Genomic DNA, 26,227 nt, shown 5'->3' with positions numbered 1-26,227 from the left:
AAACCATAATGAGGTTTCACTTCACACCTGCTAGAAAGGCTAAATTTAAAAAGATGGACGATAGCCGGGTGCGGTGGCTCACGCCTGTAATCTCAGCACTTTGGGAGGCCGAGGCAGGTGGATCACCTGAGGTCAGGAGTTCGAGACCAGCCTGGCCAACATGGTGAAACCCCGTCTCTACTAAAAATATAAAAATTAGCTGGGCATGGTGGTGTGCACCTGTAATCCCAGCTACTCGGGAGGCTGAGGCAGGAGAATCGCTTGAACCTGGGAGGCAAAGGTTGCAGTGAGCTGAGATTGTGCCACTGCACTCTAGCCTGGGCAACAGAGTGAGACTCTGTCTCAGGAAAAAAAAAAAAAAAGAGAGATGGACAATAACAAGTATTGGTGAGGATATGGAGAAATTGGAAGCTTCCTACACTGCTGGTGGGAGTAGTAAATGTTGCAGCTGCTGTGGAAAATAGTTTAGCAGTTCCTCAAAAGGTCAAACGCAGAGCTACTGTATGACTCAGCAAGGCCACTCCTAGGTAAATACCAAAAAGAAATGAAAGCTCATCCACACAAACACTTACACATAAATGTTAACAGCAGCATTATTTATAATAGCCAAAAGGAGAGGCAACCCAAATGTCCGTCAACTGATGAACAAATGAACCAGATGTGATCTATCCATAAAATGGAATATTACTCAGCAATAAAAAGAAACGATTTGCTGATCCACGCTACAAAATGAATAAACGTTGAAAATGCAATGCTAAGTGAGCCTGGGCACGAGGGTTCACACCTCTAATCCCAGCACTTTGGGAGGCCCAGGCAGGCAGATCGCTTGAGCCCAGGACTTTGAAATCAGCCTGAGGAACACCGCGAAACCCCATCTCTGCAAAATAATACAAAAATCTAGCCAGGCCTGGTGGCGAGCGCCTGTGGTCCCAGTTACTCAGGAGGCTGAGGTGGGAGGATCGCTTGAGCCCGTGAGGTGGAAGCTGCAGAGAGCTGAGATCACACCACTGCGCTCCAGCCTGGGTGACAGATCGAGACAGTGCCTCAAAAAACAAAACAAAACAAAACAGCAACAATAACGACAGCACATGATGCTAAGTGAAAGAAGCCTGACACAAAAGGCCACATATTATATGATTCTATGTACATGAAATGTCCGGAATAGGCAAATCCACAGAGAAAGAAAGTAGATGAGTAATTGAAGGGGTGGGGGAAGGGGGTATAGGGAGTGACGGCCTAAGGGGTACTGGGTTTCTGTTTGGGGGTGATGAAAAGTTTCAAAAATTGATTGTGGTGATGATGTCAGTGCTCTGTGAATACACTATAAGCCATCGAATCACACTTTAAATGGGTGAATTGCGTGATACATGAATTATATCTCAATAAAGCTCTTTTCCAAATGTAAAAAATAGGAAGTGCTGGAGGAAAATGTGAAACAACAGCTTTTTTTCTTTTTTCTTGTCTTTTTTCTTTTTTGAGACAGAGTCTCACTCTGTCACCCAGGCTGGAGTACAGTGGCGCTTTCTCGGCTCTTCTGCACCTCTGTCTCCTGGATTCAAGCGATTCTCTTGCCTCAGCCTCCCAAGTAGCTGGGATTACAGCCACCTGCCACCGCGCCCGGCTAATGTTTATATTTTTAGTAGAGACGGGGTTTCACCATCTTGGCCAGGCTGGTCACTAAACAGCTTTTTTTTCTATGAGGCTTTTACTCTTTTGTTTTTTTGTTTGTTTGGGGGTTTTGTGTGTTTTGTTTCCAGGGCCTAGCAGAAAATTGGAGCCCAGAAAATGGGTGGGTGGATGGATGAATGGATGAATGATTGGATAAAGAGATGATTGAATGATCGGATGGGTGGATGAGTGGGTGGATGGAATTTCCAATGTGGTCCCTCCTAGAGCTCCCTTTTTCCTTTGACTCACCCAAAAGTAAAAGAGATGCAACTATTCCAAAATGATTGTCTTTTCAAAACTCTTCATTCCAGCAGCATCTGAGCTCAGGCAAACAACCACTCACCAAGATACAGAGTCACTACACTTCCTACCACATTTCCTCTCCTTTGCCCAAAGTAGCAGCAAGTAGGAACCACTGGAATCCCATACACAATTTCTAAAAACAGGCGTAGAGGCGCGGTGTGTGTGTTCCAGGCCTGTGCCCCAGGCTGTGGGGCTCTCAAGACAGATCAGACTCGGAACAAACTGCTGAAGAAGCAGGATAAGGCAGCAAGCTCACTGAAGAGCCAGGCTGTGCAGTAGACACATCTAGGCTCAAACGCAGCTTTGTTGTTTGGGCAACTCACTGTCTCTCTGGGCTCTCAGCTCCTTATCTGTAAAACAGTGCCAATAACACCCGCCTCACGAAGTCCACGCCTCTTCAACACCAGTATTAATGAGGGGTTCACTTGGGACCTGGTACCTCTCACTTAGCTTCCTTCTTTCCCCCACCACCTCTGTGCCTGGCCTCCCCTGTCCTGAGACACTGTATGGTGTGGTCACCTTCATAAGCTCTGGTTTCAGATGACCTGGATTGAGTACAGGCTTGGCTCCTCCACTGTGTGACCTTGGGCAACATACTTAACCTCTCTCTGCCTCCGTTCCCTCATCTGTAAAATGGGGTTAATAATAATAGCTGCCGTATAAGATAGCAGTTTGTTCTGAGGATTAAAGGAGATAAATCTTACAGATCGCTGAGGTCAGTGACTGGCATATACTATGCACTCAGTGAATACTGACAATAATAGCCCGGCATAGCAGCATACTCCTACAGGAAGCCCTATCTGAAAGGCGGTAGGGGGCAGTGGCCACTTGCCAGTTGGCCTTGCAGGGGAAATGTGGCCCATCCATTGGGCCTCCCCGACGGTTCCTGGGCTTAGCAGCCCTATTTGATCTTGCGGAATAATGACAATTCTACTACCCTGCTTTATGGCCATCCTATCTGTGGCTTTGAACAGGAAGCCGTCTTTCCTCCCAGACACACTGGTGCCTTTCCTGTTCTCCATGGAAACAGGCCAGGCTCGGTGCTGCTGACTGGCCTGGAGTCAGGGTTTGGTCGAGGACAGATTGGAGGCCATGTGCTTACCTGGGGGCAGCAGGGAAAGGACCGTCTTCCAGATGGACTTCGTGGAATGTTCTTTTCCTGACGCCTGGAGCTTGAGTGAGGGGTACCCTCAGAACTTCTGCAGAGATAGTTTCAGAAGCTGATGTTAAAGGAACAGGCTGAGGCTGGGTGCAGTGGCTCACACCTGTAGTCCCAGCACTTTGGGAGGCCGAGGCAGGCGGATCACTTGAGGTCAGGAATTGGAGACTAGCCTGGCCAACATGGTAAAACCCCATCTCTACTAAAAATACAAAAATTAACTGCATGTGGTGGCGGGTGCCTGTAATCCCAGCTACTCGGGACGCTGAGGGACGAGAATCACTTGAACCCAGGAGGCAGAGGTTACAGTGAGCCAAGATCACACCACCCCACTCCAGCTTGGGCGACAGAGTGAAACTCTGTCTCAAAAAATAAGAGAAGCTGACGTTAAAGAAACAGGCTGAAGCCAGGTTTGGTGGCTCACGCTTGTAATCCCAGCACTTTGGGAGGCCGAGGTGGGCAGATCACTAGAGCTCAGAAGTTTGAGACCAGCCTGGGCAACATAGTGACACCTCATCTCTACCAAAAAAAAAAAAAAATACAAAATTAGCCAGGCATGGTGGTGCATGCCTGTAGCCCCAGCTACTTGGGAGACTGAGGCGGGAGGATCACTTGAGCCCAGGAGGTCAAGGCTGCAGTGAGCCACGATGACGGCACCGTACTCCAGCCTGGGTGACAGAGTGAGGCCTTGTCTCAAAAAATATATATATAAATAAAAATAAAAAATAAAGGAACAGGCTTGGGGTGGTTTCCCATTGTCAGCCACCTCTCAGCTCAGCTGGGCTTCTCTTCCCTGCTTGCTAAGACTGAACTCATCTTTTATCTCATCTGATGCCTACCACAATAGCAGAGGAAGTGAGGATTTCCAGACCCATTTGACAGATCAGGCAATGGGGGCTCAGAGAGGGTAAGCAATTTGCCTAAGGACACACAGCTGGTTCTTCCTCTGCCAATGTTCTCTCACTTTGCACCATTCCCTTTTTGATGACCTTTGTGGGAGTCACTGCTTCTGATCCAGAATCAGATTATTCTTTAAAATAAAAGATAATAATGATAACTAAAGTTTGAATACCTACAATGTAGCAGGCATTTCCTACACATTATTCCATTCAATCTTCATAGCATATTTTATTAAATATCCCAGAGCAGTTATTGGTGTCCCTTTTGGGGATCCCTCCCACACATACTTCAGACAGGCCTTTGACATTGCTAGGGAGACACGTGAGGTTCCCACTAGTGAGCTCTGCCATGGGGCCCCACAGTCATTCATTCACTAAAGCAAGTATTGAGCACCTACACCTTACCAGGTCCTTGACAAACTGTGAAGTGCTGTGCACTGCTTTGTGAATTTCCAAGTGGATCACCACCCAGCTTGGTACAAGGTATAGGCAAAAGGAAATGGAAAGGAGATGGGAAAGGAGGGGAATGAGGTGAGGAGGGGTGGAAATGAGGTGGTGGGGAGGAGGTGGGGAGGAGGTGGGGAGGGGTGGGGAGGAGGTGGGGAGGGGAGGGGAGGAGGTGGGGAGGGGTGGGGAGGAGGTGGGGAGGGGAGGGGAGGAGGTGGGGATGGGCGGGAAGGAGGTGACAGGGGAAGGAGGTGGGGGAGGCGAGGGAAGGAGGTGGGGAGGGGAGGGAATGAGATGGGGAGGGAAGGGAAGGAGGTGGGGATGGGTGGAGAAGGGCAGAGTTTCCCCAGGAAGCTTCTCCATCCCCTCTCAACTCAGGTGGAGGTGGAGACGGAGATGGAGATGGAGGCGGCAAACCTAGAAGTGGGTCCCTAGAACCTGTGTCACTGGGTCAACCCTGAGGGATAGTTACCAAGGAGCGAAGTCCTTTCAGGCCTGGCCTGGACTTTCCTCCTAGAATCTTCTCCCCGGGGGTGGGCCTGTGATGGCGGCCAGGCCAGGCAAGAGAAGACACAGGGCAGCGCCTCACACAGGCTCAGCCTCCACCCAAGGTGGGACCATCTAGCCCAACCATGGAGCCCTGGCTGTTGGCCCAGGGATGGGGGAGTCTCACCTCCGCAGCCACTTCCCACTCCCCAGGCCCTCTCCCAGCCCTCCAGCTGCTTCTCCTGGAGATAAAACGGCTGAGCTCCCTTCATATTTTCCCCATCCTACAGTCATGGCTGTGGCATCTGCATTAGTGGCTGTGGCATCTGTCACCTCCTGGTTCCCTCATCCCCTCCCAAAAGTCAGCACTGCTGGGTGCAGTGGCTCATGCCTGTAATCCCAGTACTTTGGGAGGCCAAGGCAGGGAGATCACTTGAGGCCAGGTCAGCCTGGCCAACATGGTGAAACCCTTCTCTACTGAAAATACAAAAATTAGCTGGGCGTGGTAATGTGCGCCTATAATCCCAGCTACTAATGAGGCTGATACAGGAGAATCGCTTGAACCTGGGAGGTGGAGGCATCAGTGAGCCAAGATACAACTACTGCACTCCAGCTTGGGCAACAGAGTGAGACTCCATCTCAAAAAAAAAAAAAATTAAATTAAATGGTCAAAATGGTAAATTTTATATTATACATATTTAACCAGAATACAAAAAAAAAAAAAAAAAAAAAAAACCTGCCAGGACTTTAACACAATGCTGAACTTGGCATAACCCACCAATGACCAATGTGGATGTTTTACCAAATTGGCTCAATGGGGCTGTGAGTGGGAAAACTAAAGCTCGTGCTGTGTGGACCTGAGCTTGGTTGCACCTGCCACAGGTGGGAAGCCAGGCTGAGGTGGCGGGGAGAGGCAGGGCCGAGGGGGTGTGGAAGGGTGCGAGGCCGGGAGCAGAGCTGAGCTGCCACTGGCCATCCTCAGCAGAAGCTGGTGGGGCACCCTGGACAGCTCAGACTGAGCCACAGGCACTAGCTAATAGTAGCTCATACCATTATTAAGCACTTGCTGTGTACCAGGAATTTCTACAGACCTTCGAAGTACCGTGGTTGGTCTCCACTACACAGATGAGGAAACTGAGGCCCAAAGGAGAAAAGCAGCCTGCCCAAAGCCCCGAGTTGACAGGTGGCAGTGCAAGGCCTGGAGCCACGTCTTTCATAGCTGTCCTCTCCCTGCTGGCAGCTCTGCCCCCAACAGCCACTCACCGGGGAGGTGCCCAGTGCTAGGCTGGAGCTTCCAGCACTGGCCCTCACTTCCCTGGGCACCCTGAGGGCCCTGGCCGTGCAAGGAGTGGGCCTCGTCTACAGTCACGTCCTTCATGGAAGTTGCTGGAAGCAGATGCAGCCCAGGCCAAGCCTCAGGGTCAGTGATTCTGTTCTGGCTGGGGAGGGGGAGCTAAGGGGACCACCTCTCCCAGCCCCTCCTTTGGGGGCTCACAGAGACCTCAGATGGAAGCTGAAGTGGACTCTTGCTCTCCTGCCCTCAGCCGAGGGGCTGAGCCACTCCGGGAGGGTTTTTGGAGGCCTGCTCCGCCCCCAGCTGCTATTAGTGCTGCCACGGCCAGCCGCCTCCACCCCAGGAAAAAGAGGAAGTGGTCAGAAGCCAGCAAGAGAGAGCCTTAAAAGAGGACGTGTCCCAACCCTCACAGTCCCCTCCCTGTCAGGCAGAGTGGAGGAGCTGGCCGGGTACTTCTCAGAGCTGGCCGGGTGCTTCTTGGAACCTTCCACCTGGGGAAGCTGGAACCTGCTTTCACCCCACAATGATATTCTAAAAACACCCTAGAATTGTGAGGGCCTCCAGGCTTCCAGCATCAGGGAACTCTGAGACGCAGTGTTGGGGAACAGTGGGAGCTCCCAGCTCAGCACCCAGCACTCAGCAGGCTCATAGTTCATACGTGATAGACGGGGCCTACATCACAGTGAAGAGTTGCAGGTTCAAATCCTAGCTCTTTTATATATATTATATACATATATTATATTTTTTTTATATTTATTTTTTGAGATAGACTCTTGCTTTGTTGGCCAGGCTGGAGTGCAGTGGCACAATCTCGGCTCACTGCAACCTCCGCCTCCCAGGCTCAAGCAAATCTCCCACCTCAGCCTCCCGAGTAGCTAAGATTACAGACGCCTGCCACCATATCCACCTAATGTTTATATTTTTAGTAGAGACAAGATTTCACCATGGTGGCCAGGCTGCTCTTGAACTCCTGACCTCAGGTGATCCACCCACCGTGACTTCCCAAAGGGCTAGGATTACAGCTGTGAGCCACTGCACCCGGACTCTTTTACATATTTATAGGGTAAAAAGTGACATTATGATCTATGAATACAACGTGGAATAATTAAAGCTAGTTAACATATCCATCACCTCAAACACTTAACTTTTTTGTGATGAGACTGTTTGAATTTACTCTCTTAGCAATTTTGAAATGTACCATACTCTATTATTAATGACATTTACCACGCCATACAATAGGTCTCAAAAAAAACCCATATTCCTCCTATCTGAGATTTTGTATGCTTTGACCACCATCTCCCCATTTCCCGTCCTCGAGCCTCTGTAACCACCATTCTACTCTCTGCTTCTATGAGTTTGACTGTTTTAGATTCCACATATAAGTGAGAACATGTGACACTTGTCTTTCTGGGCCTGGCTTATTTCACTTAGCATAATGTTCTCCATCTTTATCCATGTTGTCGCAAATGACAGAATTTCCCTGGCCATCAATCTCTAGTTCCAGGCTGGAGGCAGTGGCTCATGCCTGTAATCCCAGCACTATGGGAGGCTGAGGCAGGTGGATCACCTGAGGTCAGGAGTTTGAGACCAGCCTGGCCAACATAGTGAAACCCCATCTCTACTAAACATACTAAAATTAGCTGGGCATGGTGGAATGCACCTGTAATACCAGCTACTGAGGAGGCTGAGGCAGGAGAATCACTTAAACCCTGGAGGTGGAGGTTGTAGTGAGCCAAGATTGCACTACCGTACTCCAGTCTGGACAACAAGAGTGAAACTCTGTTTGAAAAAAAAAAAAAAAAAAAAAAAAAAGCTGGGTGCGGTGGCTCACGCCTGTAATCCCAGCACTTTGGGAGGCTGAGGTGGGTGGATCTTGAGGTCAGGAGATCGAGACCAACCTGGCTAACATGTTGAAACCCCATCTCTACTAAAAATACAAAAAATTAGCCAGGTGCAGGTGTGGTGGCAGGCGCCTGTAGTCCCAAGTACTCGGGAGGCTGAGGCAGGAGAATGGCATGAACCCGGGAGGCGGAGCTTGCAGTGAGCCGAGATCGCGCCACTGCACTCCAGCCTGGGCAAAAGAGGGAGACTCTATCTCAAAAAAAAAAAAAAAAAAAAAATCTCCAGTCCCCATTCTGCTTTTTAAATGCTGAATAGTAGTCCATTGTAAATATGTGGCACGTTTTCTTTATGCATTAATCTGTTGATGGACATTTAGGTTGATTCCATAACTCAGCTATTATGAATGATGCTGCAATGAACCTGACAGTGCAGACATCTTTCAACAAACTGATTTCAAATCTTTTGGGTAAATATCCAGAAGTGGGATTGCTGTGCTGGATTTTTTTTTTTTTTTTTTTTGAGACAGAGTCTCACTCTATCACCACCCAGGCTGGAGTGCAGTGGTGAGATCTCAGCTCACTGCAATCTTCCCCTCCCAGGTTCAAGGGATTCTTCTGTCTCAACCTCCTGAGTAGCTAGGATTACGGATGCCCGCCACCATGTCCAGCTAATTTTTGTTGTTGTTGTTGTATTTTTAGCAGAGATGGAATTTCACCATGTTGGCCAAGCTGGTCTTGAACTCCTGGCCTGAGGTGATCTGTCCGCCTTGTTCTCCCAAAGTGCTGGGATTACAGGCATGAGCCACCACACCCAGCCAAATTGCTGGATCTTATACATTGTTTTCTATGTTTGCTAAAACATAGATACCTCTATGTGTTTTTAACTTTTTTTTTTTCACAATGGGATCATATTATTCTACTGTTGTTTTTACTTAACGGTATATTGCAGATCTCTTTCTAGGTCAGCAAATCCAGCCAGCTTTCTTTTTCTCAACCATGGTACCTTGCATTCCGCCGCGTAGATGGATTACACTTAAGTGAAGCAGCTGTCCATTGAGGGACATCTCAGCTCTTTCTAGGTTTGTGTCTTTGCTTCATAAGCAATGCATCTTTGGACATGTATCCTTGAACAGTGGGGTGAGTATATCCACAGGGAAAGATAAATCATTTGCTGTGTAAATGCTGGACACATACCAAAACAATTTTGACAGAAACACCAAATTGCCCTCCAAATACTTCATTGCTTGAATTGGTAACACTCATCTATTTCTTTAAATTTATTTAATGAAGGCCAGGCACAGTGGCTCACGCCTGTCATTCCAGCAGTTTGGGAGGCCAAGGCGGATGGATCACTTGAGGTCAGGAGTTTGAGACAAGCCTGGCCAACATGGTAAAACCTCGTCTCTACTAAAAATACACATAATTAGCTGGGCTTGGTGGCAGGCGCCTGTAATCCCAGCTACTCAGGAGGCTGAGGCAGGAGAATTGCTTGAACCCAGGAGGCAGAGGTTGCCAGGAGCCAAGATCACACCACTGCACTCCGGCCTGGATGACAGAGTGAATGAGACTCCATCGCAAAAAAATAAAAAATAAAATATAATTTATTTAATGAAAAAGTTTAGTTTGTTTAAGGCATATAATTTGACAAAAATCAATCAAGTGATTTTTTAAAATCTACATCTTCAGGGATTATAGAGATGTTAAAAAGCAACCCAGATGGGTTCAGAGAACAGGATCTTTGGCTGAGTTAGCTCCTACCTTCCCAAATAAACCACCCAACCAGTAGTGTGAGAACATGTAAATCAAACCCTGGTTTGGCTGCCCGGCATCCTAGACTGCTGTTTCCTGACTGAGGGGCCCCCTTGTGAAAGTCGCAGTGGAAAGGAGCTTTAGTGAGCACCACAGCCTGGAAGTAAACCTCACCCACATCTTCCACCCTGAGCTCTCTCCTGCCACCCCCCGCCACAGGCCTCAGTGCCTGGAGAGGTCCCCTGCAGGAGGGAAGGAGCCAGGTACAGTCATAGTCAAGACTGTTTCAATCCCAGCTCTGCCAGCATCTCACCGAGCCTCTCTGAGCCTCAATTTTCCTAATCTGTCAAATGTGCCCGATAAAACCTAACTGGTTCACAGGGTTGTAATGAGGATAAGATGTGGAAACAGATATGAAAGTCACTGGCTTTCCTTCCTTCTGTTTGGGTTTACCATCAAGTCTACAAATGGGGAATAGGAGATCCGAGTCTGGGGTTTTCTGACCACAAGTGCTTTCCCAGAAACAGTCTTCTTTGAAGTTATTTTTTTGCAATTTGAATAGTTTATACAGGCACATGGCATGCCATTCAAAAGGTCTCAAGGGGTAAGTGCAAGAAGTCCCCTGTTTACCCCTAATGTCCCCTCCCCCAAACCAGTTCTCCTCTCCGAGACATCCTTAGTCACCTCTTTCTTGTGTCTCCTTTCAGACTCAGTCTTTGAGCATTTCCACAAAAATGCAGCATTCTGCATACTCTGCTCTGCACCTTTCTTTTTTCATTTTTTTTTTTTTAATTTTTTAAGTTTGAGACAAAGTCTCACTCTGTCACCCAGGCTAGAGTACAGTGGCACCATCTCGACTTACTGCAACTTCCACCTTCCAGGTTCAAGCAATTCTCATGCCTCAGCCTCCTGAGTAGCTGGGATTATACGCATGTGCCACCAAGCCCAGCTAAATTTTGTATTTTTAGTAGAGATGGAGTTTCACCATGTTGGCCAGGCTATCTCAAACTAAGGGCCTTGGCCGGGTGCGGTGGCGCAGGCTTGCAATCCCAGCACTTTGGGAGGTCGAGGTGGGCGGATCATCTGAGGTCAGGAGTTCAAGACCAGCCTGGCCAATATGGGGCCACCCTGTTTCTACTAAAAATACAAAAATTAGCTGAGTGTGCTTGCAGGTGCCTGTAATCCCAGCTACTTGGGAGGCCGAGGCAGGAGAATCACTTGAACCTGGGACGCAGAGGTTGCAGTGACCCAAGATCACGCTACTGCACTCCAGCCTGGGTGATTCCATCTCAAAAAAAAATGGAAAGAAAAAAAGTCATTCATTTAACAGTCATGTCTCTAGTCTACTGTAATCTAAAACAGTCCGCCAGTCCATATTGTCTTTTATGACACTGACATTTTTGAGTGTCCAGGCATTTTGCAAATCTCTCTTAACTTGAATTTCTGTTTCTTTCCTCATAATAGATTTAGGTTAAACATTTTTTTGCAAGAATATTATATAGATGATGTTGCACCTTATTATTTTAAATGGCTGCATGGTATTCCAGTATATGGATACATCACAATTGATGTAACTCATCCTCTATCCACAGATGTGTAGATGACTTCCAATCATTTATTTAAAAAACAATACTACCATTAATAATATTATTATTATTTCAGACAGAGTCTTCCTCTGTCGCCCAGGCTGGAGTGCAGGGGCACAATCTCACCTCACTGCAACCTCCACCTCCCGGGTTCAAGGAATTCTTGTGCCTCAGTGTCCCGTGTAGCTGGGACTACAGGCACCCACCATCACGCCAGGCTAGTTTCTGTATTTTTAGTAAAGATGGGGTTTCAACATGTTGGCCAGGCTGGTCTCAAACACCTAACCTCAAGTGATCTGCCCGCCTCAGCCTCCCAAAGTGCTGGGCTTACAGGTGTGAGCCACCGCGCCCAGTCCCATTAATATTCTTAAACTTTTGTCATTTTGAAAATCTTGGAGTATGTCTGCAGGAGAAATTCCTAGAGGGGGAATCACTGAAGCTGCACATATATGCCTTTGTAATTTTGAAAGCTATTGCCAAATTACTCTTTATAGAGGATAAACCCATTAATACTATCGCTAGTACTGTTTGAGAATGCTTGACCCAGAAGCTTGTCATATGCTTTTAACTTTCATCTCACTGTGTCCTGGCTAGCAAGGTGGTTGGTGTACCTTTGCTGAATCCCTTTATGTGACAAGATTTCCTTAAGTTTTTGCCTATGAATTTTGGCTGGAATTTAATGAAATTACAACTCCCAAAATATGACAAAGTCCCCCGTGCTCTCCTGGAGCAGAATTCATACTCCTGGTTACAAAGCACATCTGTTTGCTTTGTAGGCTCCACTGGTTCCAAGAGAAGAGGGCAATGAAGGTGTGTCAGGCACTGTACCAGTTACCTGATTGACGTTATCAAGCCTGAGAAGTGGGAATTATTAATATGCCCACTTTACAGATGCTTGGGAGGTTAAACTGCCTGTTTACTCAAGTTCGACGGAGAAATAATCAATGCAGACATGAATGGCATCACAGAAGTGTATATTGCTCTTATTCTCTGCCTCCTTGGGTGTTAGGGTTGGAGATTGACAAAACGAAATCCTACACTTAAATTCAAAATCCAAAAGTTGTTCATCCCCTCCCGGCGCTGGGGTGAGAGCCCCGCGGTTCCCACCCCTGGCTCTTGGACTACGTGAAAACGACCCTCCCCAGAAGGCACCACTGTGGGTGCTCACTCTGCCCCAGCGGCCGTTTCGACTACATTTCCCAGAATGCAGTGCGTTCACCGCTGCGGCCATGCTTCCGTTTCCGCCCCAGATGTTTTCTGGGAGTTGGGTTCTCCACCTGTGCTGGGGGCGAAAACTCAAGCACTCAAGGCACCCTGCCAGTGGCGGCGGCGGACCCCCACGTGTCACGAGTAGATGAAGTTATAAACCGGGAAGCACCGGGGAGGGCTGAAAGCGTTTCTACCTCCCTTTATCCAGCAGGCCGGCCTTGTTTGTGCCACAGTGCCCTGAGCACCCATGGGCTGGTCCTGTCTGACTTTGGGGTTAATAGAGGTTCCATTCGACTATGGCATCCTCTTGCCTATTGAGTTTTCTAGGGGCCATGAAATTCCTTCCCTGGTTCTGTGACATTATGTTGTCCCCAGAAGTGCACCCTTGTTCTTCCTCCTTTACACACTTGCTCCCTTCTAAAGAAAAAGGAAGGACGCACCTCTGAATGGGCTAGTCTCGCCCCTACAGAGAGTCAGGTCGTTCGCTGTATGACAGCCAGGAGGCTCAGGAATAACGTCTGGCCGCTGAACTCGGCCTCTGAATGGATAGCTGAAAGCAGAGGTTCCCAACTGGGACTTTGTTTAAACATACATGCCCATGCCCCTCCAGATCTGCTGAATCAGCCTGGGCCAAGCTCCCCCCTGACCCTAATGTCAGCCAAGGTCAGAACCTGAGATTTACAGGGAAAATGCGAAACATTGGCATTCTAGACCTAACCTACTTTTTCTTACAGAAGCTACCAGACTGCCCACCTTGAGAACAGTAAATCCACATAATTTATCTCTGTATCCCCAGGAGCCAACTACATGCAGCCCATAATAGGGAGCAGACTTGGGGTTGACATCCAGCTGGTAATTACCATATGGCCTGCAGTCTGTGGCCAGTGGCTATTAGTTAGTCAGGGTCCATGTTATCTCGGTTGTTAAATATGTTGAATGCAACCCTGAGTTATAGTCGTTGTTTGGATGAAACTGAGCAAAATTCAACTTGGGAAAGGCAGAGGATGGTCAAACATGAAGATTTTCAGTGACTACCCTAAGGGATATTGCAACTTACAGAAAAGAGAGGTTCCTGTGGCCACAGGTCATCCAAGAAGGCTTCCGGCAACTCTCCTTACCTCTCATGGGTCAGCACTAGGTCATATGCCCTTCCCGGCCAATCAGTGGGAGGGAGGCTAGGAATGCCACCACTGGCTTAGACCGATTAAGATTGAATCTTGGGCTGGGTTACCCAACACAACCTTTTCTAGTTCAGCCCTGCAGTGACCTGGATGCAAAACCCAGCCCCGTTGCTGGAGGTCATTTACAACCAGCACTTAATCATCTTATATTCTTTGCTGAATGTTTATGGAATCAACAGGAAAAAGGTTCCACTGCATAACATTATTTTTAAAGTCCAGGGTTGGAGTTAAGATGAGACACTTTGAATCCAGAAAAACCAACCCTTCTTCCTTTCCCCTTCCTTCCTGCAGCATCCAGCCTGTTGGCCCCCTTTTTCACCTCTCCAGATGCCCTAAAAAATTCCAATTCCTGGGCTGGGAGCAGTAGCTCATGTCTGTAATCCCAGCACTTTGGGAGGCTGAGGCGGAAGAATTGTTTGAGTCCAGGAGTTCAAGATCAGCCTGGGCAACATAGTGAGACTTTGCCTGTAAAAAAAAAATTAGCTGGGTATGGTGACCCATGCCTGTAGACCCAGCTACTCAAGAGGCTGAGGTAGGAGATCACTTGAGCCCAGGAGGTCAAGGCTGCAGAGAGCCATGGTCTGGGTGACAGAGCACGACTATCTTAAAAAAAACAAACTTGCCTCCTTATCATCCCCACCAGCTTCACCATCATGACTGCTATTTATGGAGTGCCAAAAGATTTGGAATTTTTTTGGTTACAAGTGAGAAGAAAAGTCACCTCAATCTGTTTTAATCAAAAAGGGAAGTTGGGGGACTGGGTGCGGTGGCTCACGCCTGTAATCCCAACACTTTGGGAGGGCAAGGCGGGCAGATCAAGAGGTCAGGAGATTGAGACCATCCTGGCTAATATGGTGAAACCCCGTCTCTACTAAAAATACAAAAATTAGCCAGGCTTGGTGGCGGGCACCTGTAATCCCAGCTACTTGGGAGGCTGAGGCAGAATGGCGTGAACCCAGGAGCCGGAGCTGACAGTGAGCCAAAATCACTCCACTGCACACCAGCCTGGTGACAGAGTGAGACTCCATCTCAAACAAAAAAAAAAAAAAAAAGGGAAGTTGGCTGGGCACGGTGGCTCACACCTGTAATCCCAGCACTTTGGGAGGCCGAGGCGGGTGGATTACGAGGTCAGGAGTTTGAGACCATCCTGGCCAACACAGTGAAACCCTGTCTTTACTAAAAATACAAAAAATTAGCTGGGTGCAGTGGCGGATGCCTGTAATCTCAGCTACTTGGGAGGCCGAGGCAGGAGAATTGCTTGAACCCAGGAGGTGGAGGTTGCAGTGAGCCAAGATCGTACCACTGCACTCCAGCCTGGATAACAGTGCAAGACTCTGTCTTAAAAAAAAAAAGAAAAAGAAAAAAAAGGAGGTTATCCCCTCATGTAACTGAAAACCAAGGGCCACAGTCACAGCTGGATCAAGGGGCTCCAACAATGTCATTGGGACTTAGTCTTTCTTCATCTCGCCACTCTCCCTCCCTTGGGATGGGCCTCACCTCCAGGCAGGCTGTCTCCCACAGGAGCCCTGCATAGCTGCAGCTTTCCTTTCTCCTGGCTTCACATCCACAAGAGAGAGGATCTCCTAACCCACCAGTTCCAATAAAAGCCCTAAGTCTGGTTCTCATCAGCTCAGGGTGCATGAGGTGCCCATTCCTGAGCCCAACCTCACCCCTTTCACTCCCCTCTGGCCACTGTGGCCTCTGGCTCCGGAAATGTCCCTCACTCCTTCCAGCCTCCTGGCTTTTGACCACGCAGGTCGCTCTACCTGGGCTCTTTGCCTGGGTGACCAGTGTTCCAGCAAGTCTGTGCCAGTCGGTCCAGTCAAGAGACAGAGCACACCGGTTCTTTTGTTTTGTTTTTGTTTTTGAGATAGGGTCTGTCTCTGTCATCCAGACTGGAAGGCCGTGGTGCTACTGTGGCTCACTGCAGCCTCAACCTCCCATGCTCGTGTGAACCTCCCACCTTAGCCTCGCTAGTAGCTGTGACTACAGGTGTGCACCACCATGCCCAGCTATCTTTTTCTTCCTTTCCTTTCCTTCCTTCCTTCTTTCCTTTCCTTTTCTGTCTTTTCTTTTTTTAGTAGAGACAGAGACTCACTATGTTGCCCAGGCTGGTCTCAAACTCCTGGGCTAAAGTGATCCCCCCACTTCAGCATCCCAAAGTGCTGGGACTACAGGCATGAGCCACCGAACCCAGCTAGACTGGTTCTTCTGTCGATAAAACATAATAGGTGAACTGTGAAGCAGGTATCGAGAACCAAAAAGATGAAATGGGACACTAAGTTATTGCAAGTTGATAATGACACAGAGCAGGCCCTCTTCACACGTCTGGAAGAACAAGAGGAGCGGGACCAATGATAAGAACTTCAAAGCTGGGAGGACGAGGGGCCCTGTGAAGCTGGGTCCCAGAACCTGAGGAAGTCTGGCCAGATGGGAAGTGAGGCTCCCGGCCCCTGTTCACTCCCGTCTCGTAGCACCTGGCTCTTTCCTTCATAGCACCCACCGTGGGGTAACAAATGATTATATGTGCTATCATCTGTCTTGAGTTCTCCCCACCAGCTCCCTGAAAGCAGTGGGATGCCTGTGGTCACTCCTGTCCACCCCAGTTCCCAGCACATACTAAGCGCTCCTGAAACCACTGTTGATGGAGTCATTTCTCAGGGGTAGTGCATGGGACGTTCCTTTCCTGGCTGGACTAAGACTCTGCCAAGTCATCTAAACCCTCCTTCACCCTGCATGGGGGCTGGGGCTCCAGGGAGATAGGCTGGGCCCCAGGAGTAGGATGGAAGATGGCAGTCACTCTTAGAGTCATACACAGGCAGGGTCATCACCTGTGAAGCAGCACCATCCTCAACTCTGCACCTGGAGCCCTCATTGGTCTCATCCCAGTCAGGCCCTTCCTTGAGCACTGCCTGGCACCTAGCAGGTTGAATGCATGAATGAGACCTAACCCCTATTTTCCAGGGGTACTATGTACTCGGAGTAATGGACTCTCTAGGTCATCTTTTGACTGAGAGGTACTCTGCTACCTTTTCAATTTTAGCCAACACCGCCCCCCCCCCCGCCCCCACAATGGTAACTTTTGTGTGCTTTGTACCACAATTAAAATCTGTGTTTAAATGTTGAGCACATGGAGGAAGCGAGTAGAATTTTGAATACTGGAGGCTGGGAAGGGGAGGAGGGAGGGGAGGATAGGGAGAAGTTGGTGAATGCACACAAATTTCAGCTAGGTAGGAGGAACGCGCTCTGGCGTTCTGCATCACTGTAGGGTGAATATGGTTAACTATGGCTTATTGTATATTTTCAAAAAGCTAGAAGAGATTTTCAATGTTCACAACACAAAGAAATGACAAACGTTTGAAGTGATGGATATGATAATGACTCTGATTTGATCATTATACATTTTTTTTTTGAGACAGTCTCTCTTCGCCCAGGCTAGAGTTCAGTGGCACAATCTCAGCTCACTGCAACCTCTGCCTCCCGGGTTCAAGCGATTCTCTTGCCTCAGCCTCCCAAGGAGCTGGGGACTACAGGCTTGCACCACCACACCAAGTTCATTTTTGTATTTTTCGTAGAGACAGGGTTTCACCATGTTGGCCAGGCTGGTCTTGAACTCCTGGCCTCAACTGATCTGCCCGCCTTGGCCTCCCAAAGGGCTGGGATCAAAGGTGTGAGCCACCACGTCTGGCCTGATCATTACATATTTTATATGTGTATCAAAATGTCACTCTGTAACCCATAAATATGTACAAATTGGGGAAAATCCAAAGGGCAAAAATTTTTGACGGAAAAAAAATCTTCCTCCTGCAAGTAATAAGCCATATGATATAGTGGATGCTTTGGAACCAGACTGGGTTCAAATAGAAGCGATTCTACTTCCTGGCTGTGTGAGCTTGAACAAGTCACTTTACCTCTCTGAGCTATAGTTTCCTCATCTGTAAAATACAACTAAAATAACCTCAAAGCCCCAGCACAATACCTGGCACACAGCAGGTATTTAATACAAGTTTGTTTGTTTCCTCTTATAAGCGAGCTCTAATCACATCAGACCTGGAGGACCCACCTCCCTGAGAGTGGGCCAGTGTCTCGGTGTGAGGCTGGGCCTGGATGTCGGGGCAGCAGGTGGATCAAAACAAAGGCCAAGAGCGCTGGTCTATGGAGGAAGGGGACTGCCTTGGGGGAACCCCTCTTGCTCTATGGGGCACAGAGGGTGCATGGATTAGAACTCTATTCAAACTTGCTTAAGCAAACTGGGAGATTCACTGTCTCACATCTGTGGGAATTCCAGGGAGGATTCTGCCTGGCAGGCAAGGTGAATCCAGGGACTCAAGAGAACCCTCAATGGGTTGGTTTCATTCTTTTTAAGCCCCATGTGCTAGGGATGCTGACCACAGCCCCAGGCCTCTGCACCCACAGTGGGAAGAGGAAGCTTTGGTTGTGTTTTGGTTTGGTTTCGGTTTTTTTTTTTTTTTTTTTTTTTTTTTTTTTTTTTTGAGATGGAGTCTGGCTCTGTTGCCTAAGCTGGAGTGCACTGGCACTATCTCAACTCAGTGCAACCTATGCCTCCCAAGTTCTCCTGCCTCAGCCTCCTGGGTAGCTGGGATTGCAGGCACATACCACCACACCCGGCTAATTTTTTGTACTTTTATTAGAGATGGGGTTTCACCCAGGCTGGTCTCAAACTCCCGACTTCAGGCGATCTGCCTGCTTGGGACTCCAAAGTGCTGGGATTACAGGTGTGAGCCACTGCACCTGGCCAGGGAAAAGGAAGCTTTACTCCCAGAGCCTCTGCACGCCAGCCCCAGGGATGTGCTCATTTGCTGGGGTCACGTGCTCACCCTTGACCCTGTGACTGGTCGAAGCACTGGGATGCAGTCATTGGCTGTGCCTACGTCACATACTCTGTAGGGGAGGGCAGGGTTGGTACCTGTGGTCGACAGCCCCACTGAACCAGCTTCCTAAGGAAGACAGTAAATGTCACTAGAAGAAAAGTAAACCTTACTACCTGCGTACCTGCCACACACTGGTTTTCTTCTTTTCTTTTTGTTTCTTTTCTTTCTTTTTTTTTTTTTTTTTTTTGGAGACAGAGTCTTGCTTTGTTACCCAGGCTGGTATGCACTGGCGCTGTCTCAGCTCACTGCAACCCCCACCTCCCAGGCTCAAGTGATTCTCCTGCCTCAGCCTCCCGAGTAACTGTGATTGCAGGCATGGGCCACCACACACAGCTAATTTTTGTACTTTTAGTAGAGACAGGGTTTCACTATCTTGGCCAGGCTGGTTTCAAATTCCTGACCTCAAGTGATCCACCTGCCTTGGCCTCCCAAAGCGCTGGGATTACAGGCATGTGCCACTGTGCCCGGCCCCACACACTGTTCTGAGCACTTACTAATTCATTTCATTCTTCTAACAACCCTACGGAGTAGGTGTCATTTCATCATGCCCATTTCATGGATTAAGAATGGAGGCACAGGGTGTTTAAGTACCTTGCCCAAGGTCACAGTTGGTGAGAGGCGGAGCCAGGATTCAGCCCCAGGCCGTCTGGCTCCAAGTCCACGTGCTTAACCACCATGCCACATTGTCTCTCCTCATCCCACAAAAGCAACAATCTGTCCTTTTAGGGGCAGCCGCAGGAGAAGGGGTCCCAGCCCTTCCCTGGAGGAGTACGGGGGAGCAGCTGGACCTCAGGTGACCCATCCTCAGCACAAAGCCTGTCTTCAGTGCCCTCTGTCTGGAAAATACTGGGGGCTCCCAGAGAATGTACCAGAAATAGAGGCCACTTACCAGGCTCCACTCGAGCGGAAAATGCCGTGGCCTGAAGACTCAGATACTCACCAACCTTGCCACTGCCACAAGCGCAAGTTGGCTGTGTGACTGCAGACCCGCCACTGTTGCTCTCTGGGCCTATTTCTTCCGCTTGCACGTAAGCAGATAGAGGCTTAATCCCCTGTGCCCAAGGGCCCTGGGGTCTCGCTGGGGAGAAGCTAGGGGTGAACTAATACCCCAGGCTGTGGTCGACCACCAGCTTCTCTGGTCTCAACAGCCGCAGGTGCTGGGAGAACAAAAATCCCCCCTGCCCCCACCCAGACACTGAGTACCAGTGGCTCTTGGGCCCCTGGAGGGAGAAGGCCCGACGGCGGCCCCAGCTTCCTCCTGCACAGCACTCTCTAGTTCACGCTTATCACTCCTGGGCCTGCCTGTCCCACTCCCGCAAGACGGCACCCCTCCCCCTGCCAGGCTGGGGCAAGTTCCGCCCCTGCCACAACTTCCCCATCTGCCGCCTTAGCCCCCAGCCTGGTGTGAGTTCTTGAAACAGGTGTCAAAAACTCACAAGGGCACTGGCTAGTGCCAGCTGGAGTGATTTTGTCCCTCAGGAAGGGTTTCCAGATTTAGGAAATAAAAATGCAGTCTTTGGACATAATTATACAAAAACATTATGTGCTTATCTGAAATTCAAATTTTCAAAGTTAAATTCAAATTTAACTATTTTATTTGGCAATCCTGCACTCAGGGGACATTGCCCCTATCTGGAGACAGTTTTTGATTATCCCAGCTCAGGGATGCTACTGGCATCTAGGAGGTCAAGGCCAGGGAAGCTGTTCAGCACCCTACAGTGCACGGACGGTCCCCACCAAGTGATCTGGCCCCTAATGGCAATTATGCTGAGGGTACGAAACCTCCCCGCGGTGGCCTCCCCAGCCCTAACACGCATGCTTGCCTGCCATCTCAGGAACTTGACAGAGGAAACCGTGGTGATCCTTGCGTGAAAGTCAGGGAAACTGAGGCACGGGCGAACTGTCTTATTCAAGGTCACACAGTGCAGTCTTTCCTTCTCTAATAAACTCGTCGGTTCTTCTAAACACAGAGGCACGCAAGGCCAGCCAGGAAATACAGGTGGGGAGAGGGGTCAGACAAGAGCCTTCAGGGTCCCCAGACCCCCGGGAGTGGGGTCCTTTGGGGCTGGGTAAGCCAGCCCTGGAGAGGAAGAGGAACCATGCTGACAGGCGTCACTACCCGACTGTTGTCAATTGTGCCACCAGGAGGCAGCAGAGACTGGGAAATAATTCTGCACACCTTGCCCTCCCCCGCGCTGCAAGGAACTCAATTCCTGGCTAGCCCCACCTCTCCCCCAGCCCAGAATCTGATGCAGCTGCTCTAGGACAGGCGCCAGCCATCCGCATTGTTTAAAACAGCTCTCAGGTGATTCTATTGTGCAGAGAGGATTTGCGAAATGCTGGACTTATGCCTTGGTTTTTTCTTTCTTTTCTTTTTTATGTAACAGAGTCTCACTCTGTCGCCCAGACTGGAGTGCAGTGACGCGATCTCGGCTCACCGCAACCTCTGCCTCCTGGGTTCAAGCAATTCTTGTGCCTCAGCCTCCTGAGTAGCTGGGATTACAGGTGCCCACCACTACACCTGGCTAATTTTTTGTATTTTTAGTAGAGACGGGGTTTCGCCATGTTGGCCAAGCTGGTCTCCAACTCCTGACCTCAAAGTGATCCACCCGCTTTGGCCTCCCAAAGTGCTGGGATTACAGGCATGAGCCACCGTGCCATCCAGGCTTTGGTTTTCATCACTGATTGCACAGCAGCACCACCAGGACACTTTAAAAACCCACCGCTGTGGATTTTTAAAGTCTATCCACAGGTGCATGGATAAAGAAATGTGGTCTAGACAGACAACAGAATATTAGTCAACTGTAAAAGAAATAAAACTCTGACACATGGCCAGGCGCGGTGGCTCATGCCTGTAATCCCAGCACTTTGGGAGGCCAACGCAGGCGGATCACCTGAAGTCAGGAGTTGGAGACCAACCTGGCCAACATGGTGAAACCCCGTCTCTAGTAAAAATACAAAAATTAGCTGGGCGTCGTGGTGCACACCTGTAATTCCAGCTACTCAGGAGGCTGAGGCAGGAGAATCACTTGAACCTGGGAGGCGGAGGTTGTAGTGAGCCGAGATTGCGCCACTGCACTCCCGTGGGCAACAGAGCAAGACTCCATCTCAAAGAAACAAACAAACAAAAAACAAAACAAAAAAAATTGACACACGGTACAATATGGATAAACCTCAGAGATATTGTGCTAAGTGAAGTAAACCAGACACAGAAGGACAAATACTGTAGTTTCTGCAAACAGGAGACTCCTAGAGTAGTCGGATTCATAGAGGCAGAAAGCAGGACGGTGGCTGCCAGGGGCTGCAGGAGGAGGCGGAAATGGGGAACTTGTGTTTAATGGGCCCAGAGTTTCCCTTTGGGAAGATGAAAGTGTACTGAGGGGGATGGTTGCATGGCAGTGTGAATGTACAGAGTGCCACTGAATGGGACACTCAAAAATTGTTAAAATGGGCCAGGCACAGTGGCTCACACCTATGATCCCAGCACTTTGGGAGACTGAGGTGGATGGATCACCTGAGCTCAGGAGTTCCAGACCAGCCTGCGCAACATGGAGAAACCTCATCTCTACCAAAAATACAAAAAAATTAGCCAGGTGTGGTGGCGGGCACCTGTGGTCCCAGCTACTCGGGAGGGTGAAGTAGGAGGATTGCTTAAGCCTGGGAGGCGAAGGTTGCAGTGAGCTGAAATTGCGCCACTGCACTCCAACCTGGGTGACAGAGTGAGACCCTGTCTTGAAAATAAATAAATAAATAAATAGTTAAAATGGTAACTTTTATGTTATATTTTTATTATAATTTTAAAAAGCAGAACATATATGCTGGGTTTCACAATTAAAGCTTAAAATCATTCCACAAAACAAAAGCACAGATGCCAATGTCCAAGTCACTCCCCAGACTAATAAGAATGTCAAGGTTGATTCCCCAAAACTGATATTTTCTTAGTGTCCCAGAGGAATTTAACATGAAGTTACTGTTGAGAATCCCTGGTTTAAAATCATTCTAAGATTTCAGCACCCTGGAAGAATTATTGCTGCTCTAGCCATTTATCTCTTGTGATGGTATTAAACTGTGCCCACACATTCTTTCATACTCCTCCTTCAAGAGGTAGAAACTAATCGGGCATATTGGCTCACGGCTGTAATCCAACACTTTGGGAGGTCGAGGCAGGAGGATCCCTTGAGCTCAAGAGTTTGAGACCTCTCTCTCTCTCTCTACTAAAAATACCAAAAATTAGTTGGACATGGTGGTATGTTCCTGTAGTCCCAGCTTCTTGGGAGGCTGAGGCAGCAGGATCGCTTAAGCCCAGGAGGTCAAGGCTGCAGTGAGCTATGACTGCGCCACCGCACTTCAGCCTGAGCAACAGAGTGAGACCCTGTCTTAAAAAAAAAACACAAAGAGGTGGAAATTACTTCCTTTCCCCTTGAGTTTGGGTGGAACTTTGTGACTTGCTTCTAACAGGTAAAAAAAAAAAAAAGGAAAAACCAGAAGTAATGGTGTAAGACCCGGAGACAAGGTCATCAGAGGCACTTTGGCTTCCATCTTGGTCTTTCTCTTTCTCTCTAGAATCACTGACCTTGAATACAGCCAGCTGCCATCATGAGGGCACTCACATAGCCTACAGAGAGGCCAGTGTAATGAGAAACCAAGGCCTCCTGTTAATAGCTGTGCAAGGGATCCATCATTAAGTGGATCCTCCAGCCCCAGGCGAGCTGTCATATGAAACTGCAGACCAAGCCACCATCCTGCAGCAGCCGTGTGAGAGGCCCTGAGCCAGAACAACCCAGCTAGGCAATCCCAAATTCCTGAGCCAGAGACATAGTGAGATAATAAATATTTTCTGCTTTAAGCCACAAATTTTAAAATGATTTGTTAAATAGCAATAAACAACTAATATATATCCATCCATGAGTCACTCAACAATCCACACATCCATCTATACACCCACCCATTTATTCACCCATCCACTCACCCACCAATCTATTCATCCATCATCCATCTATCTATCCATTGATCCAGCTACCCATCCACCCAGTCATCCACTCATTCATTTACCCACCCATCCACCCACTCACTCATCATCTACTCAGTACAGAACCCAGGGCCTAGCACACAGTAGACGCATGTAAATATTTGTCAAATGAATAACCAAACATTTTGTAAATGTCTGCTCTCTATTTCTTGCCAAGACAGGCCAAGGGAGGCTCAAATGTGGCCCCTGGACCACTGTGAGATGGAGCCAGTGCCTGGTTCTGCCAGAGCAGCTCTGGCCTCTGGATGCTATTGGCCACCTCCTGGGCCCATTTGGCATCATCTCCTTCTGCTAAGAACCACCCACCCTTCTCTCACCCACCCACGCGCAAGCTGCATGGGCCTGCCTGGTAGGAAAAACCTGGCTCTGTCCCTCCCTCTCCCCCACCCCACCACACACACGCCCGCTGGGGCTGGTCATCCTGGAAGGCTGGGAACAGAGAAGCTTCTTGCCTCCCCAAGAGAGTTTGTGACAAGAAGATTTGGGTTCTTCTAGGTTCAAGAACCTGGGCCAACTGGGGCAGCCATAGGGAGGTTTTTGGCAAAGGCCTGGCTGCCTCTTCCCAGAGAATGTCATGTAGGCCTGGGCTCTGCCCGACCCACCCCAAATACCCACTTCCAGCCTATTCCCTTCTCATCCCTCATGGTTCACCTTACAGGCTCAGGCCTCAGTTTTCTCATCTATAAAATGAGAATGATGAGACTATTTTGGAGATGAGATGACACGTGCACAGGGGAACCCTCAGCAAGGGGCCCGGTGAGCAGCAAGTGCTGCAGTGCATGTGGAGCTACTGTGGACCGAGCGGATGGACAGTGAAACCAATGACACCCAGAGGCCCGCAAGCAGCCGCTGACCCGGCCCTCCCCTCTCCTCCCCTGTGCCCACTCTGCCCTGGCTGCATCCCCTCCTCCTGCTCCTCACACTCTGTGCCCACTCCCACCTCTGGGCTTCTGCACTGGCTGTTCCCTCTGCCTAGAATACTCTTTCCCCAAATACCCACTCAGCTCCCTTCTCCCTTCCCTCAGGTTTTTGCTCAAATGTCACCTTCTCAGTGAGCCCCACCTGGATACCCCTCCTCAACTCTCACCAGTCCCCTGTTTGGATTAATTTTTCTCTACCGTATTTATCCTTTTAAGGTACTACATCTTTTCCATCTCTCTCTTTTTTTTTTTTTTTGAGATGGAGTCTCGCTCTGTCACCCAGACTGGAGTGCAATGGCACCATCTCAGCTCCCTGCAAACTCTGCCTCCCGGGTTCAAGCGATTCTTGTGCCTCAGCCTCCCGAGTAGCTAGGTCCCACCAAACCTGGCTAATTTTTGTATTTTTAGTAGAGATGGGGTTTCACCATGTTGGCCAGGTAGGTCTCCAACTCCTGACCTCAAGTGATCTACCGCCTCAGCCTCCCAAAGTGCTGGGATTACAGGCACCAGCCACCACGCCTGGCCCACTATATCTTTTCATTGTTGATTTTGTTATTGCCTGACTCCTCCCAGAACATAAGCTTTATAAGCATGGGAATTTTGGTCTTGCTTGTTCATTGCTAGATCCTCAGCATCTACCAGAGTGACTGGCACATAGTAGGTGTACAGTCAACGTCGATGAATGGAGGGTGAATGGATGAATGGATGGATGGTGAATGTATGTATGGATAGATGAATGAATGAGTGAATGGATAGATGGATGGGTGGCTGGATAGATGAATAGATGGATAGGTGGGTGGATGGATAGATGGATGGGTGGGTGGATGATGGTGAATGGATGGATAGATGGATGGGTAGATAGATAAATGAATGGGTGGGTGGATGGACGGATGGATGGATGGATGGATGGATGGATGGGTGAGTGGGTGGATGGGTAGGTGGAAGGGTGGATGGAGAGAGGATGGACAGATGGATGAATAAGTAGATGGCTGGATGGATGGAGAATAGATGGATAGAGGGTGGGTGGATGGATCATTGGGTAGATGGATGGTCAAAATAAGAGGAGACTGAGTGAGCCTTCTCTAGCAGTCTAGAAATCACCATCTAGGCATGAGTTCCCCATGTTCTAAAGGTAGAAAACTAAAAGACGACTTCAGGGCTTATTAAAAAGTGGTGCAAAATGTTCCACTCTCTCCATATGTCATCCCACCTCCAACAGAAGACTTGAGGTCCATGAGCAGGGAGAGAAAAAGAGGGAAATCTCCTTCCCAGGTTCCGGGTTCACTCCTGTCCTCCAGCCACCCCCAGCCCAAGGCAGGTGATGCTTGATCTTCATGCTGCCTGCCTGGACTAGAGAAAGGCAGCTAGCAAGAGGTGCCTGGGTGGGGAGAGGTGACCACAGCAATGTCCTCCAGTCTACAGGTCAGGGCAGTGTGACTTTCTGGGAGTCAAGTGGACACCAGGAGGCAGTAAGCCTGAGATAGCTTCCTGTTATGCCACCCAGAAAGGAAGAAGAGACCCAGCAGGGGGCAGCGGGAGGTGGCCCACAGGGGGAAGGGGCTGG

At 49.0% G+C, this 26,227-nt stretch overlaps 1 protein-coding gene and 1 long non-coding RNA gene across 11 annotated transcripts in view, besides 12 other annotated features; both read right to left on the bottom strand.

The window, feature by feature from the left end:
* PLCG2 (phospholipase C gamma 2) overlaps positions 1-19,999 on the bottom strand; it is a 223,645-nt gene extending 203,646 nt beyond the window's left edge. The window contains exons 1-2 of one of the 3 annotated variants that reach the window (NM_001425751.1): positions 19,604-19,999; positions 3,074-3,170 (exon numbers count right to left, since the gene is read on the bottom strand). The gene's annotated coding sequence lies outside the window, so the exon portion shown is untranslated. The remainder of the gene's footprint in view (positions 1-3,073; positions 3,171-19,603) is intronic. The other 2 variants (NM_001425749.1, NM_001425750.1) reach the window with 2 other exon arrangements.
* The window catches only part of LOC105369213 (uncharacterized), a 38,313-nt gene extending 18,314 nt beyond the window's left edge, over positions 1-19,999 (bottom strand). For 3 of the 8 annotated variants that reach the window (NR_189583.1, NR_189582.1, NR_189580.1), the window contains exons 1-2: positions 19,655-19,999; positions 3,074-3,170 (exon numbers count right to left, since the gene is read on the bottom strand). This is a non-coding gene — a long non-coding RNA (uncharacterized LOC105369213). Of the gene's footprint in view, positions 1-3,073; positions 3,171-6,225; positions 6,509-18,452; positions 18,575-18,660; positions 18,781-19,305 lie in introns of those variants that run through there. The other 5 variants (NR_189584.1, NR_189578.1, NR_189577.1 and 2 more) reach the window with 5 other exon arrangements.
* Positions 540-599: an enhancer, noted in NCBI's record as "active region_11204". NCBI's record gives its function as "activates an Ori minimal core promoter by ATAC-STARR-seq in GM12878 lymphoblastoid cells {active_cell/tissue: GM12878}" and the evidence as "EXISTENCE:reporter gene assay evidence [ECO:0000049][PMID:35858748]".
* Positions 5,758-6,365: an enhancer, noted in NCBI's record as "H3K27ac-H3K4me1 hESC enhancer chr16:81786280-81786887 (GRCh37/hg19 assembly coordinates)". NCBI's record gives its function as "activates a minimal SCP1, AML or CMV promoter by ChIP-STARR-seq in naive H9 embryonic stem cells {active_cell/tissue: H9 hESC(naive)}" and the evidence as "EXISTENCE:reporter gene assay evidence [ECO:0000049][PMID:30033119]".
* Positions 6,366-6,974: an enhancer, noted in NCBI's record as "H3K27ac-H3K4me1 hESC enhancer chr16:81785671-81786279 (GRCh37/hg19 assembly coordinates)". NCBI's record gives its function as "activates a minimal SCP1, AML or CMV promoter by ChIP-STARR-seq in primed H9 embryonic stem cells {active_cell/tissue: H9 hESC(primed)}" and the evidence as "EXISTENCE:reporter gene assay evidence [ECO:0000049][PMID:30033119]".
* Positions 10,139-10,208: an enhancer, noted in NCBI's record as "active region_11203". NCBI's record gives its function as "activates an Ori minimal core promoter by ATAC-STARR-seq in GM12878 lymphoblastoid cells {active_cell/tissue: GM12878}" and the evidence as "EXISTENCE:reporter gene assay evidence [ECO:0000049][PMID:35858748]".
* Positions 11,714-11,906: a silencer, noted in NCBI's record as "fragment chr16:81780739-81780931 (GRCh37/hg19 assembly coordinates)". NCBI's record gives its function as "represses an EF-1alpha promoter that drives an FKBP-Casp9 reporter gene in an ReSE screen in K562 erythroleukemia cells {active_cell/tissue: K562}" and the evidence as "EXISTENCE:reporter gene assay evidence [ECO:0000049][PMID:32094911]".
* Positions 12,530-12,979: an enhancer, noted in NCBI's record as "active region_11202". NCBI's record gives its function as "activates an Ori minimal core promoter by ATAC-STARR-seq in GM12878 lymphoblastoid cells {active_cell/tissue: GM12878}" and the evidence as "EXISTENCE:reporter gene assay evidence [ECO:0000049][PMID:35858748]".
* Positions 12,530-13,488: a biological region, named in NCBI's record as "H3K27ac-H3K4me1 hESC enhancer GRCh37_chr16:81779157-81779776".
* Positions 12,869-13,488: an enhancer, noted in NCBI's record as "H3K27ac-H3K4me1 hESC enhancer chr16:81779157-81779776 (GRCh37/hg19 assembly coordinates)". NCBI's record gives its function as "activates a minimal SCP1, AML or CMV promoter by ChIP-STARR-seq in primed H9 embryonic stem cells {active_cell/tissue: H9 hESC(primed)}" and the evidence as "EXISTENCE:reporter gene assay evidence [ECO:0000049][PMID:30033119]".
* Positions 19,715-20,497: an enhancer, noted in NCBI's record as "H3K27ac-H3K4me1 hESC enhancer chr16:81772148-81772930 (GRCh37/hg19 assembly coordinates)". NCBI's record gives its function as "activates a minimal SCP1, AML or CMV promoter by ChIP-STARR-seq in naive and primed H9 embryonic stem cells {active_cell/tissue: H9 hESC(naive and primed)}" and the evidence as "EXISTENCE:reporter gene assay evidence [ECO:0000049][PMID:30033119]".
* Positions 20,104-20,153: an enhancer, noted in NCBI's record as "active region_11201". NCBI's record gives its function as "activates an Ori minimal core promoter by ATAC-STARR-seq in GM12878 lymphoblastoid cells {active_cell/tissue: GM12878}" and the evidence as "EXISTENCE:reporter gene assay evidence [ECO:0000049][PMID:35858748]".
* Positions 20,724-20,783: an enhancer, noted in NCBI's record as "active region_11200". NCBI's record gives its function as "activates an Ori minimal core promoter by ATAC-STARR-seq in GM12878 lymphoblastoid cells {active_cell/tissue: GM12878}" and the evidence as "EXISTENCE:reporter gene assay evidence [ECO:0000049][PMID:35858748]".
* Positions 21,688-22,620: an enhancer, noted in NCBI's record as "H3K27ac hESC enhancer chr16:81770025-81770957 (GRCh37/hg19 assembly coordinates)". NCBI's record gives its function as "activates a minimal SCP1, AML or CMV promoter by ChIP-STARR-seq in primed H9 embryonic stem cells {active_cell/tissue: H9 hESC(primed)}" and the evidence as "EXISTENCE:reporter gene assay evidence [ECO:0000049][PMID:30033119]".

This window comes from Homo sapiens, chromosome 16 (genome assembly GCF_000001405.40).
Source record: "Homo sapiens chromosome 16, GRCh38.p14 Primary Assembly".
Taxonomy (NCBI): Eukaryota; Metazoa; Chordata; class Mammalia; order Primates; family Hominidae; genus Homo; species Homo sapiens.
Note: the sequence above shows the minus strand (reverse complement) of the source record. Positions and strands in the feature narration are given on the sequence as shown.